Source organism: Homo sapiens, chromosome 11, assembly GCF_000001405.40.
Source record: "Homo sapiens chromosome 11, GRCh38.p14 Primary Assembly".
Lineage (NCBI taxonomy): Eukaryota > Metazoa > Chordata > Mammalia > Primates > Hominidae > Homo > Homo sapiens.
In genome coordinates this window covers 83286576-83302176 of record NC_000011.10, presented here as the reverse complement: position 1 = coordinate 83302176, position 15601 = coordinate 83286576, and the positions used below count along the sequence as shown (strand labels likewise).

General features: G+C 41.4%; 1 long non-coding RNA gene across 1 annotated transcript in view; it reads right to left on the bottom strand.

Moving 5' to 3' along the window:
- Positions 1-15601, bottom strand: part of CCDC90B-AS1 (CCDC90B antisense RNA 1) — a 140270-nt gene that overhangs the window by 124213 nt on the left and 456 nt on the right. The gene's annotated exons all lie outside the window — the stretch shown is intronic.

Genomic DNA, 15601 nt, shown 5'->3' with positions numbered 1-15601 from the left:
CTAATCGCACTGCCCTGACTGACCCCTTCACACCCTCTCAAACTGTTCCTGGCCTTCTACCTTTCAAAGTTCTTTCCCACACTCAAACTCTCAAAGTCCAGTGCAGCTTAGCTTACCTAAGCTATATTAAGAACTCATTCTGCTCCAGGCCCTGGGCCAGATGCTGTAATACATGACAGTCTTGATGTGAATGGGTCCCTGCCCTCCTAGAGTTTACAGTCTAATGAAGCAACTAACCATGTAATCAAATAATTTATCAATCAGAGACAGGGAATCCAAGATGGTTTAAATGGAAGACACTGATATTTCTGCAAGTTTTAAATGGGAGATGCTTACGTTTTGGGAAGGCAGCTCATCTCTGGTCCACAAGTGTTCATGAGCATTACTCTGAGCACCTTCTGGAAAGTAAACCAGGGACCAGTAAACATATTATGAGGTGATGGATTTTGAAATCTACCACAAACAAAAAAACCAGGCTCACCACATTCAGGCTGACTTCCACGAGCACAACAAAATACACACATGCTCCACTGACTCTAGCCTGTTCCTTCATAATAAAGGCTTTCTCACTCATTGCTTACAACAATGCATGGGACCCTCAAAAGTGTTACCCACATTTTCCTTGGAAGGAAAATGCTGTCTGCCTTGGGGTTCTGAGAATTTTGTAGCATTCTAGCTTTATCTCCCATTAATTGCTCCATTCATCCTGAGCTTCAGGCACATCTGACCTTCCCCACCCTGAAAATACAAACTGCCCTGTCCCCATCCCCATGCCTCACTCTAATCTTCCATATCACTCTCCTGCTTTGTCAAAATCCTACCCACCCTCCATGGCTCCGATAAATGTCACCTGCACCAAAAGCCTTCAACCAATTACTAGAGACAGGGTTAATTTGTTCTACATCTGTATTATAGACTCTTGACACTTACAAATTTTAACATTCTCTATTTTGACTATTTTCAAGTGATCCTAAAGGTCCAAGACCTGGACTGATTTGGAATTTCGTTGAGCACAGAATTTGAATCGCAGCTATTGACAGGTTGGTGTACAGGAAAATGTCACTGAGCCAAGAGGGTACTGAGAAGGTTTGGTATAAATGAGGCCCTGGAGGATAAAAAGGGCAGAGAATGACAGAGCATCCTATTTCTACCTTCACCTTTAACCCACCCAGATAGAGAAGATGGGATTGGTAAGAGAGTGGGATCTGGTTTTTAAACCACAGCAAAAGGGTCTGGGGGTATCAGAAGGTACAGACCAGGCCCTCTAATAAAGGAAAAAAGGAAGCCTGCCTAGGAGAAATGGTCAAGCACTGAGGGAGCAGGACTGAAGAACTGCTGGTTAGGGACCAGGGCTAAGGCGCCAATTGTCAAGTAGGAGCTCAGGGCCGTAGGGCCAGAGGGCTGACCAGGTACCCAGCAGCCATGCATCCCTATTTCCATACTCCTTTGTTACATCTACTGATCAAGCCTGTCCTATAGAGGATGCCCCAAGTGAACAGGTCTCAAAGGCCTTGGCAGGTGCCCTCTAAATGTGAATGTCTACTGGATTTGGTGAGTGCCTCCCTCGCAACACCCATCATCTGGGGAAGGGGGGGATCCTGCCTCTTCACCCTCTAGACTGGCCAGGGCCTCATCTTGGTGATCCTTGTATCTATCTATAAGATCACAGATCAAAGTGGAATAATCATGGCACTTGTCCACTTGACCAGGTTGATTGGGCCAAGAGTGGAATCAAACTCAACTTGGCCTCCAAGTCTTTTCCCTTCAGATATTTGGACTTGGAACTAGGAAACATTTAGTCAGTATGTCTCTGGTACCTGAAGTCAGATGTAACATTTAAGAGCTGTCAGAGCCTATTTTCCTACCATCTGGAAAAAGACAGTCTGCATTCAAATAATATAAATAACACCAATAACAGCTAACACTTATTAAGCACCTTCTATGCACCAGGGACTGTGCCAAGCCCTTTAAGTGCATTAACTCATTTAGTCCTCGCAACAACTCCAGGAGGTAAACGATATGATCATTCTTGTTTATAGATGAGAAAACTGTGGTGCAGCAAGGTTAAGTGACTTGCTCAGAGTCACACAGCTAGTAAGTAACAACAACCCTCTGGCTCCAGAGCCCATCGTCTCAACCACTACTCTATACCTGGCAGAGCTGGCAGGGAGAAGGGAGTACAACTGAGAGATGGCAAGAGGCGTGGTCATGGTCAAGCCCCTGTTCCAGTAGTTCCTGAAGGCAGACTGCGTCTGCAACCATGCTGCCATGTATCTATAGAGGAGGAAGTTTGTGCAACCAAAATGCGGTTGGTTAACAACGTAAGTTTCTGTCACTAGCAACTAAAAAATTCCTGACAAGATACTATCTCTCTAGCATGTAGCATGCTCTCCACCAACAACCTTCTCACCCTGCATCTTATTCTTCCCATCTCCACTGGGCAGCCAAGACGAGATTCCAATTCCAAATGAAATTGTATCCTTAAAACCCTTCTATATCTTTCTAAAATCCCAGGAGAAAGTCCAAACTTTTCTTTGTAACATACAAGGCCTTTCAGGATTTTGCTCCTGCTTCATTTCTCACCATTCCCCTGCCCTCACCTCCTTTCCATGACACTCTACACCTCAAGGGAGAAAAAAATAATTTCTGAACTCCCCTGGGCTCATCTCCCTGTCACTATTTTGTCTAAGTTCTCTCCAGTGGCTCACAAGTGGCTCTCCTGATTAGCATCTGCCTTGCTATTTCCTACTCCAGAGGCAGAAGCCAAAGACTATAAGGTCAGGACTTCAGCACACCCACATAAAGACTGCTTACCTGGCTGACTCCCAAACATTGTACCCTGTCATTTCTGTCCACTGTGCTTTAATTCCCTGGGACCCTGATGCCTAATTAAATGACATATAAGGAAATGCGCTGCACAGTGCCTAGAACATAGTAGTTGCTCACCATGTGATATTTCGCTTCCTTCCTTCCTCTCTTCCTCTCCTGGTAACCCTATTATTGAAGGATTATTGTCCTCATCCTGCCCTGTAAAAGCATCTCAAGCCAAACTCCCCACATCATCTGCCCTGTGGCATATCTGAGAAATACCAACTCCTGTCCAAGTTCAGGGATCTGATAAGAACAACTTTAAGCCCTAAGGTCTTGGGTCACAATTGGTGCTACTTGGGGTCTGTGTCTGTGTCTGCAGGTGGGTGTTCAAAGGGTCCGGCCATGCAGAGAGAAGAGGGAAGAGTTTCAGGGGTGCCCACACAGCACCTTTCCCTGACCCTAGATTCACTATAAAAAGAACTAGCTCAAAGCAAGCTGTTCTTGAAGCATCGTTCCATCTTCATAGCAATTCTATTTGTGTCTGCAGAAGAGGGCTGGAGCACCTCATTCTGCTACAATTGGAACAATTAGCCCGTAAATGTGATAATTACAGTTTGATCATTTGGTAGGCAAAGGGAAGACTGGTTCCAAGATTTGCTCCTCCTTGTTGTAAATTTCTGTGAAGAATCTGCTTATGTTCTAGGGCCACAGACTTCATATTTCAGAATCAGATGAGAATGTCTTCTAGTTCCTTCCTTTCCAAAAGGATAAAGATTTGGACATTTCTCTTTTGTACTGGCTGGGCTGCTAAGTTTAAGGGTATTGTCTAAGGCAATTGTCTCAATAATTTAAGCCAGGAGGATTAGGCTCTTTGCACATGCCTATCAACTCAAGAGCCTGCTGTCTTGTCAAAAACCATGCTGTCATCTTGGCATCGATTTGACCAAGGTGGCAACATAAGTGGTGTCTCTCTCAAGGCCCTAAATACAGAAAAAAGCTATATTCAGATTGCATTTTTTACGGCAAGCTGTGTATCTGCTCTACCCATTCTGGACAACACAATCTTATCTGTAAAATTCAAAGTTTGGAACCTTATAATGCCTGCAAAAAAGTTGAGACTAAACAAGCCCATGCTATGGAATAACCTCCATACACACTACTATGCAAATTATTTAACCTTAAGTATACATATTAATAAAACCAATTATAACCACCACAGTGGAGTAGGAGGGGGTCTTCAGGAATGGTGAAATCCTTGATCCTTAGCTATACCTTCAGGTATGTCTAAAGGCACATTTCTGCCCCATTCTTGTCCAGAAGGTCCCCATTTGTCATCCTGATTCTGCATTACAATCCTTCTCTAGGCCTCAGAGGGCCCACATTCTACACATCTGCCTTTAATGGCCACCTTCCAGTTTTGAGAGTTTGAGAATTTTTAGTCTGTCTGTTTGTAGCAGTTCCAAGTTCATACCTTAAGTGTGAATTGGGTTACTACCTCAATATTCTAATGGGTCTAGTGGCTGTTATTCCTAATATACCAATGCAAATGACCATAAAATGTTAAAAGAGGTTCACAGTCCTGCTGGCATCTCTGCAGCTGCTCTGGAGCTGAACAGTGTTGCATGTGTCTCCTTCTAGAGAGAAGAACACCACTTCCAGATGCAAGTACCACCTTTAGAAGTTTCCTACACTATCCAGAGGTCCTCTACTATACAGGCTACTTCCAATGTTTCACAGACATCCCTCTCTGCCTATAACAGCTTAGAGTATTGCAGTTTCTCCATTTCAAATTCTCTCATGTCTGGTTCACAGATGTTCTCGTGAAAGCTGGAGAGGATACGCTTTGTCATCTCTGGGTCTTCCACCAATGAATGTTCACCTATTTTGCAAAGGATTATCAATCCATTTCCCTCCAAATGGTCTTAGCACGAATGTATAATGTGGACCTGCTATGTAGCCATAGTCTTCAGTCAAAGGTTCAGTGACCAATCTAAGTGGAGCCAATAGAAGTCCCTTCCCTGGCAACTTGAAATTGGAACTAAGTGATGCCAGACTCAGCTGGCTACTCCCTTGAACAGGGGAGATATAAATGCAGACACTGTGGCATACCATTTTCTATCCCATGCACTAGATATCAGAGAAAACCAATCAATGTAGAGAAATAAGGCAGCAGACACGGAGAGAAGCGTGGGTAAGAGATGGAGATAGAAAATTCCCTGGTTCTTAGAAACTTTCCAAGCTCCACTTCCAATCCTTTCTGAGACCTTCATGCATTACTGCCTTTGGATTTCCTGAACTATCCCTATACAGTTATTATTTTATATTCCCCTTTTATGATTTCTGCATTTACCAATCAAAGTGATCCTGATAAATGCTATGCTTTTATTGCAAAAAATCTCACAGCAAAAGCTGGCTAGTAATTTCTCATAAAAGGTCAACAACATAGCTGACAGCAGCAGCCTAGAAAGTTCTTGAGGAAGACTGCTTGGTGTAGCAGAAAGATGTTCTTTGGGGTCAGACATCCAAAGCTTCAAATCCCACCACTAGAAGCTACATGGCACTGAACAAGCTCTCTAACCATTTTAGACTTCAGCTTCTTTATCTGTAAAAGGGGTATAATAATTACCATTAGGCAATGTTGTTCTGGGGACTAAAACTCATGTCCAAAGAGTGCTTAGCACTCTCCTTGGCACATAGGATGGATGTGATAAGAAAGAACTACTATTTCTTTAAATGCCTATTTTAGGGTTTCCCTCAGGGAAACTGTAACTGTAATGGGTAACCCTGGTTTAAAAGTTTCCCAAATAAAGCCAGATGTCAAAATTATATAGCTCAGAAAAGGCTGGCTTTCTTCATGATCAACATGTACATCTACATCCAGTAAGATCAAACAAACAGAAGTGGGCCTTTTAAATGTAAAATTACCACATGACCCTGCAATTTCACGCCTACATAGATACTAGAAGAACTGAAAAAATATATTCAGACAAGTACATGTATGCACATGCTCATAGCAGCATTATTCATAATAGCCATAAAGTAAAAAGACCCCAAATGTCTATCAGCGAATGGATGGATAAACAAATCATGGTACTGATTGTGTGCAATAGAATACTGGCCATGAAAAGGAATGAAGTACTGATGCATGCTGCAACACAATGAACTTCCAAGATATTTTGCTAAATGAAAAAAGCCATATACAAAAGGTCACATGTATGATTCAATTTACGTGATACATCCAGAATAGATGAATCCATAGAGACAGAACACAGATCGGTGTTAGTCAGGGGCTGAGAGGAGTGGGGAAGGGGAAAAACCTGCTAAATAGGTCAGGAATTTTACTTTGGAGTGATGGAAATATTTTGGAACTAGATAGAGGTGGTAGTTGCACAACATTGTAAGTGTACTAAATGCTACTGAGTTGTTCACGTTTAAATGGTTAATTTTATGTGACGTGAATTTCTCAACAAATTTTTTTAAAGAAATGACCTAAATTACACAAAGAGCTAACAATAAAAGAAAGACCTTCTTGATGATAAGAGCTGAAAACAGGGTAAGGCTGGCAGGAGTAAAATCAATGAAGGGCCCCCAAATTCTCCCCACAGTAGTATAGATCAGTTCTTAAGAGATAGCTTTGTGGAGTCAAGGGCTCTTCCCCAGAGCCTAAGGTAGTAGCAGGAAAAGGCCTGAGGTAGGAGTCAGGAGCTGTGACTATGTCACTAAATAATCAGCGCCTCTCCCCTGAGCCTCAAGCTCCCTCAGTTGCAAACCCAGAAAACTACCTCCCGAGGCTGTTGTGAGGCTCAAAGCAAACAGTGAATATGAAGGTTTTCATTACCCATTATAAAAATGCAAAGTTTTCCATGTGCTTCAGGGTTGAAATTCCAGCTTGTTGTATGTCCCTGAACAAGCTACTTAACCCCTCTAAGTCTTGTTTTTGTCTCTACCTACCTTACATGATTGTTGGAGAATTAGAAATAATATACGCAAAGTGCCTGGTACCCACTAAACCCTCAGTAAGTTGAAGCTATTGTTAAATGGGTGGGAACAATTTCAGCAAGGAAGGGAAGGAATAAGAGAAAATGAGCAAAATGGGTGTTGGGATGAAGGTGGGAGTCAGTGGAAATGTCATGGCCAGTGCAGGATTATGGCAGCCTAAGGGGAATATATAATCTAGAAATGGCATATGTGCTGCCCCCTTTCTCTCCTGCATTCATATCAGATACTACCAATCAATCATGTATTCTTTACTGCTGCACCAAGATATGGCCTCACAACACTCATCACTTTGTTCTAAGCAGCCACGGTCAATTGAAGGGTATTGGCATGAAGATGAAACCCATTTGTCACTTCTGTACTAACAGTTTCTTGGAGGATGAGGGATGATGTGTCCCTAAGAGTACACATAATTTCACAATTTGTGCCATGTACCCAGTTAAAATAAATTGGTGGAAGGAACAGGGGTGACTTATCTATGCAGTGTGCAGCACAATCGATTATGAGTTCTACCACGTACTTGCTCTGTGACCTGGGACAAGTCACTTCAGCCTTCTGAACCTGTTTTCCCATCTATGAAACAGGAGCAATGGTACCCAGCTCACGGAGTTGCCAAAGAGCTCAAATGAGCTCATGTGTGTGAGATAAGAGATGAGGCAACACCTACATGTGAAGAATTTTTGAGGAAGAATGCCCCACCTTGTTGTTGGAGACAGGAAGGATACAGACCATGCTGAGAGTTTAGTGAGATTTTTCAGCTCTGCTATACCCCAGTGCGGAAAATGAATTCCAAAGTCAAGACCCCAAAATCCTATTTCCCTAGTCTTTCCCAGTGAGGTCCAAGGCAGCCAAGTCATACAATGAGGAGGACTTCTCCAATCAGGTACCTTGAGGCTGGAGCTGTAGGCTCTGCCAGGCCAGGGGTCTTCTCTGACCAGGAAAGGGGCAGATGTCTAGGGTTTTCCAGATCAGTACCTAGGACAGGGAATCTAGGTGAAATACACAGCCTTGACCGCTGAAGGACTCAGCAAAGGGCAGGCAAACACCCTTTTGGTTTTTTTCCTTTTCTTTTCATTTTTTCGTTTTCGTTTTTGAGACAGGGTCTCTGTTGCCCAGGCTGGAGTGCAGTGGTGCAATCAGGGCTCACTGTAGCCTTGACCTCCTGGGCTCAAGAGATCTTCCCACCTCAGCCCCCTGTGTAACTGGGACTACAGGCATGTGTCCCATTGCCCGGCTAATTTTTTTTAATTTTTATAGAGACAGGAGCTCGCTATGTTGCCCAGGCTGGTCTCAAATTCCTGGGCTCCACTGATCCTCTCACCTTGGCCTCCCAAACTGCTGAGATGACAGGGTGAACCACCATGCCTGGCCACCTTTCTTTTCAAAGCTACTCCCTAGCCTAATGCCCTTCAGTGATTCCTCTTACTCATGGATAAAGTAAAAAAGACCTTGAAGGCCAGCCTCACCTTTTCCAACCTCACCTTCTGAATTTCCCTACCCTTAACCCATTGCTCCAGCCATTCTCTCCATTCCCAAATGAACCAGGCTCTCTCACACACACTTCCCGGCTTTTGCAAGTGCTGTTGCCTTTTCCACACAACGTACTCCACACCACCATTCACCAAATCCATTTAACCAAACTGTCTTTCACACATCCTTTCAAACTAATGCCTTCCGACGGATCCCTGCTTAGGGTAATATAAGCCTCTCTTATGCATTCCCTTGGCAGCCTATACTACCCTTCATCATAATATTTATTACAATAGACTGTTGACAATCTGAGAGCAGGACTGTGTTTTATGTTTATATCTTCATGGCTTAGCACAGTGCCTGGCACCATAAATAGTGTTCAATAGTCATTCAAAGAAAAAATGAGTAATCGATGAGAGACACCAGGTTATGATGTAACATTGCAAAGTATATAATGTTTTGACAGCTCTTTCTTCTTCTTTTCTACCATTCTTTTAATCATTCTTTTCTTTGATTTATTTTAATGGGCAAACTCGGAATCGGGTGTCATTGCCAGCCTCCCTGTATAATTAGGAAAAAAAAAATTTCCCCAGATTTTCAGGGAATACGGGCTGATAGTCACTTTCCAGCCATGCAAAATGTGAAATTAACATAAAGCTACACAAAGCTTTTGTGACAATGGGCCCTCTGACTCAGCTTCAGAGATGAGAGCAAAGAAGCAAAGAATTGTCCTTGGTTCTTTTCACATCCTCCCCCTAGTGGCAAGAGCTCCAAGTAAGCTAAGGAAGAAAATGAAACCCATTTGGTCCAGAGCTCTCTCTTTCTCAATGCCTCATTCACAGGCTTTAAAACACATCGAGATTCCTTCACATCACCTATTCCAAGAGAAAATGACTGACACATGTGAGTGGTCCAGGCTGCATTCTCTCTCCGTGAAGTCACCAGAGCTATAGTCGTAGTCCTGGGTGATCTCTGGTCATCTGATACAATTGTGCCCAAGCTGGGACCCCAGACCTCTAAACATCAGAGGAAAGAGTACTGGAGCAATGGGGTCCTCAAGAGGATTTGGACATATTAAAATGCCTCAAAAAATTGTATCATTGCTGGAGATGAAATTGGAAACCACTGAAGAAATTGGCAAGTATCTTCGCCTTCCCCTGTAAATTTATCAGCTTACTGTTAAATCAGCACTGCTTATCTCCCACTCACCAACAGTAACTTATCTTGAATTAATGGAAAATAGGAAAATAAGTAGTGGCTTCATACATGTTGTTGGTAAAGAGTGTAAGCTGTGTTTTAAATGGGAGCTTATAAAGGTAAAAAAAAAAAAGTGGTTATTTGCAATGAAAAAAACCAGGACCCACTTCCCTGCTACCCTGTTGGCCTTTGAGATTTAGATAAACTAGGCTGCTTTCAGCAGGGGAGCATTTCTCATGTCCAGGCCATCTCATCAGACATTGGAAGAGGAAAGGATTCATTTGCCTACACTAGCAAATGGCAAATAGTTATTTTCTAGAAAGAAATTCAAACTGATTTTTATCTATTTTAGCTCAAAAAATTTCAAAATCTCCTGCAAGTCCACTGTATGAAATTCAATTTCCTTAGTCTTTTTTATTCTACCTTTTTCATTTTGTTCACCCCAATTCCACCCAGTCTTCATATAATTCCTATGCCCCAGTCTACGAAGTTTCCTCACCAAACTATGACCATATTTTGAACATTCACTCATTCATTCAACACACACTTACCAAAAGCTTGTTATGGCCCAGGCATGATAAGCACTGGAGACACCATGACACATATGGTCTCTACCATAATGGAGAAAACAAATATTAAGTGCAGAGACATGGGAAGGCTGGGTTGCTGTATGAGTCCATAACAAAAGTACCAAATCTGCATGTTGTTTGAGTGGGAATGACTTCTTAAAGAGTTACTCTAAAAAGTCACCATTTAAACTGGAATCTGAAAGATATAAAGGAATTGGCCAGATAAAGAGGAGAAAGAGCTCCAAGTTGAGTAGTGATGCTTTACCATATGCAAAGTCCCTGAGTAGGAAGGAGCAAAGCGATGAGTAAATTGTACTTGCTCACTCCAATCCTCTCTCCTGGACCCCTTGCCTTACAACCTCTACTAACTAAAACCCCTAAGGTTCAAATCCTATCTCTTCTTGATAACCATTATCAAAAAGCATTTAACCTTCAACTGAATTATAGGATTTATTATTTTCTTAACATTTACATGACACTAACCTATTAAAGCTCTGTGTTGAAGGCTATTAAAATGCTTGTTCTATTCTCTCAGTTATTAATATATTACAAATTACTGGAGAGCAGAAATCTTTGCAATCCTTGCGTATCCTAGCAGAAATCCCTGCACGTAGTAAGAACTTGAATAGTTGTTGGATTGAACTGGTTTTCTTTACATTCCTCACATCTAACCTTAAACCTAGCTGGCACTCAGATATTTCTGTAAGTAAAACTGGAAAAATGAAAAATGTTTAAAAGTCCAGAGAAGAATAATATTGTGAAGGGTCCGAGATCTTACCCTATTAGCAGGCTATCAAGTTATCCTGTCATGGTTGCATGGATGCTGGTAGAAGATATGAGACTCCTTGCTAGAAACAAAGAACCCAATTACTGATGGTGCAGCGAGCAGCACGAGTATCGGCATATTTGTGTCAGCTCCCCTTGGCCCCAAGTTCATGGGGATGATGCAGCTGGGGCTACGTAGATGCCTGAGCACGTACAGTACATTGCATTACAGAGAGGAACCCTGACCTATGAGAACACAAATCTTTTATAATAGGCAGTAAGCATGAGGCCTTTTGCTCCAGAGAGAGATGCTATATTTCCTAAGGTTGTTCGTTATACAAAACTGCCACAACAAAAGGCAGAGAAGACCTCCATTTGTAAAACATACAGAAACATGAGACACCCATGGAAATTATTTCCTAACTCTGAGTAAGCAGGTATTATTATTGTTTATTGGGTGCTTGTATATGCCAGGTCCAGTGCTAAGTATTTTAGATGCATCATCTTTTCTATTCCTCTCAACAAACATGAGAAAACATTAACAAATTTATGGAAAAATATTTTTATAAATTAAGATGTTTAACAAAGAAACAATAGCAACCAAGGAGAATCTGAAAATACACAGGAGCATTAGGAGGTCTCAGAGAGGAGCTGTATCTATTAGCTGAATACTATCTGGACTCACTTCATCTGCTATTCCTGCTTTTCCTTCCTATGCTTCTCTGGCCTGCATGGTAGATTATGGATGACCCAAGCTCCTGCACTCACTTGATATAGTTCCAGCCAGCCTCAGAGAATGATTAAGAATCCCTGGATCTAATTGCCACTTCCATCAAAGAGAACATAATCAACACTGTATATGTGTGTTACAGAGAGAGCTTTATGTTAATATAAATAATAGTAACATGAATTAATATATAAAGAGATCCACTTTTTTCATAATAATTCCTTAAGTTAAGTAAAATATTGTGATAACACTTACTGGTCTGTATCTTCCACTAGCCTGTTAGCTCCTCCCAAGCAGGGATCCTATCATTTAACAGAATTATAATCATGTATATAATTATAATTATAATCCTGTATATAAGAATTATACAGAATTATAATTATGTATATACATGTATTAAGGATTTTCCTGTCACTAAGATTATTTTTAAAAATACTAAATTCTTGCATAATATTCCAAATTGGGACACTTCTGCAAGTTATTTAATCACTTTTGAATACTTAGACTATTTTCAATTTTTCACTACTATAAATAACATTGCAATAGTCATCCTTTTCAAAAATCTTAGCTACAGATGTGATTATTTACTATGGATAGCTTCTTAGAAGTGAAACTCTAGGCCAGGTGCGGTGGCTCACAGTTGCCTGTAATCCCAGCACTCTGAGAGACCGAGATGGGTGGATCACCTGAGGTCAGGAGTTCAAGACCAGCCTGACCAGCATGGCGAAACCCCACCTCTACTAAAAATACAAAAATTAGCTGGGTGTGGCAGCGCATGCCTGTAATCCCAGCTACTTGGGAGGCTGAGGCAGGAGAATTGCTTGAACCCGGGAGGCTGAGGTTGCAGTGAGCCAAGATCACACCGTTGCACTCCAGCCTGGGTGATAGAGCAAGACTCTGTCTCAAAAAAAAAAAAAAAAAAGAAGAAGTGAAACTCTGGCTATTTACTTTTTGGAGTTTCATAAATATATTACTAAATTGCTAAAGGCCAAAACTGGAAACACATTCCCCTTGAGAACTGGAACAAGAAAAGGATGCCCATTCTCACCACCCTTATTCAACATAGTACTGGAAGTCCCAGCCAGGGCAATCAGGCAAGAGAAATAAATAAAGATATTCAAATAGGAAGAGAGGAAGGTAAACTATCTCTCTTTGCCAACGATATGATTCTACACCTAGAAAACCCTAAAGACTCTCCCAAAGGCCCCTGGAACTGATAAACAAATTCAGTAAAGTTTCAGGATACACAATCAATGCACAAAAAATCAGTAGCATTTTTATACACCAATAATGTTCTAGCTGAGAATCAAATCAAGAACACAATCCCATTTACAATAGGCACAAAGAAAATGGAATACTCAGGATCATCTCACCAGGGAGGTGAAAGATCTCTGCAAGGAGAACTACAAAACACTACTGAAAGAAAGCAGAGACAACACAAATAAATGGAGAAATATTCCATGCTCATGGGTTGGAAGAATCAATACAGTTAAAATGGCCATACTATCCAAAACAAATTACAGATTTAACGCTATCCTTATCAAAATACCAACATCATTTTTCACAGAACTAGAAAAACCTCTTCTAAAATTAATTTGGAACCAAAAAAGAGCCTGAATAGTCAAAGCAATCTTAAGCAAAAAGAACAAAGCAAGACTTCAAACAATACTATAAGGCTAAACTAATCAAAACAGCATGGTAGTGTTACAAAAACAGACACATAGACCAGTAGAACAGAATAGAGAACCCAGAAATAAAGCCACACACCTAAAACCATCTGGTCTTCAACAAAATCAACAAAAATAAGCAACACGGATAGCATTCCCTATTCAGTAAATGGTGGTGGGATAACTGGCTAGCCATATGCAGAAGAATGAAACTGGACCCCCCTACCTCTCACCATATACAAAAATTACCACAAGCTGGATTAAAGATTTAAAAGTAAGCCCTCAAACTATAAAAACTCTAGAAAAAAAACTAGGAAATACCCTTCTTGACACAGGCTTTGGAAAAGAATTTATAGCTAAGTCCCCAACAGCAATTACAACAAAAATAAAAACTGACAAGTGGGACCTAATTAAAGAGCTTCTGCACAGCAAAAGAAATTACCAACAGAGTAAACAGATAGCCTAAGAATGGGAAGGAGAAAATATTTGCAAACTATGCATCTGACAAAGGTCTAACATCCAGAATCTATAAGGAATTTAAACAAACCAAGAAGTATAAAACAATCCAATTAAAAAATGAGCAAAGGACATGAACACACACTTCTCAAAAGAAGACATACAAATAGCCAACAAACATGAAAAAATCCTCAACACCACTGATCATTAGAGAAATGCAAATCAAAACTACAATGAGATGCCATCTCACACCCATCAGAATGGCAATTATTAAGAAAAAAAATTCACATATTGGTTAGGCTGTGAAGAAAAGGGAATGCTTATACTCTGTTGATGGGAATGCAAACTAGTTCAGCCACTATGGAAAGCAGTTTGGAGATTTCTCAAAGAACTTAAAATACAACTACCATTCAACCCAGCAATCCCACTACTGGGTATATACCCAAAGGAAAATAATTCATGCCATCAAAAAGACACAGAGCTGGGCACCGCAGCTCATGCCTGTAATCCCAGCACTTGGGAGGCCTAGGCGGGTGGATAGTTTGAGCCCAGGAGTTCTGGACCAGCCTGGGCAACATGGCAAGACCCCATCTCTACAAAACATGCAAAAATTAGCCAGTTGTGGTAGTGCACACCTGTAGTCACAGCTACTTGGAAGCCTGAGGCAGGAGGATCAGTTAAGCCCAGGAAGTTGAGGCTGCAGTGAGCCATGCACGACTGCACTCCAGCCTGAGTGACGCAGCAAAACCCTGCCTCAAGCCAAAAAAAAAAAAAAAAAAAAAAAGACACATGCAACCGTATGTTCATTGTAGTGCCATTCACGATAGCAAGGACATGAAATCAACCTAAGTGCCCATCAACAGTGGACTGGATAAAGAAAATGTGGTACATATACACCATGGAATATAATGCAGCCATAAAAATAAGGAAATTATACTCTTTGTAGCAACATGGATGGAACTGGAGCCATTATCCTATGCAACCTAATGCCAAGAACAGAAAACCAAATACACATGTTCTCACTTATAAGTAGGAGCTAAACATTGAATATATGATGGTAAACGTGGAAACAACAGGCATTGAGGATCATTAGATGAGGAAAGGGGGAGACGGACAGAGGGGCATGGGTTGAAAAAGCACCTGTTGAGTACTATGCTTACATCCTGTTGGGATCATTGGGACCCCTAACCTCGATATACCCTAAGGTTTTGCGTTTTGTATTTTGAAACTGGTAAGATCAAACTTTTTTCCCAATTTTTTTTTTTTTTTTTTAGATCGAGTCTCACTCTGTCGCCCAGGCTGGAGTGCAATGGTGTGATCTCGACTCACTGCAACCTCCGCCTCCAGGATTCAAGCGATTCTCCTACCTCAGCCTCCTGAGTAGCTGGGATTACAGGCATGTGCCACCACGCCCGGCTAATTTTGTATTTTTAATATAGACAGGGTTTCTCCACGTTGGTCAGGTTGGTCTCGAACTCCCGACCTCAGGTGATCTGCCCGCCTCGGCCTCCCAAAGTGCTGGAATTACAGGCATGAGCCACCACGCCCAGCCATCCCAGTGTTTTAAATAGCAATTTATATTTCCTCTTCATGAATTGTCTGTTAAAGCAGTTGTTGGCGGGAATCAAGTTTTGTTCTTTCAATGTGCTTCGGGCCTTAGAAATGGTGTTTGTTACTTAGTTGACTCTCACAAAGCTTTGAATACATATAGATAGAAACCTAGCCGTAATTGTTTAGAATCTTGAGAGAGTAAGCCACTAACACCGCACAACTGTGTGCCATTTTACAACTTACAGAGAATATTCATGAGTATTAGTGCATTTTAATACAACTACTGTGCATTGTTGCTTTCAGCATTTTACTATGCGGAGCAGTCTTGAGTAACTGAGGTCTGAGAAGGATAAATGGTGAAAATTCAAGGAATTTCTCCTAGAAACGGAGGA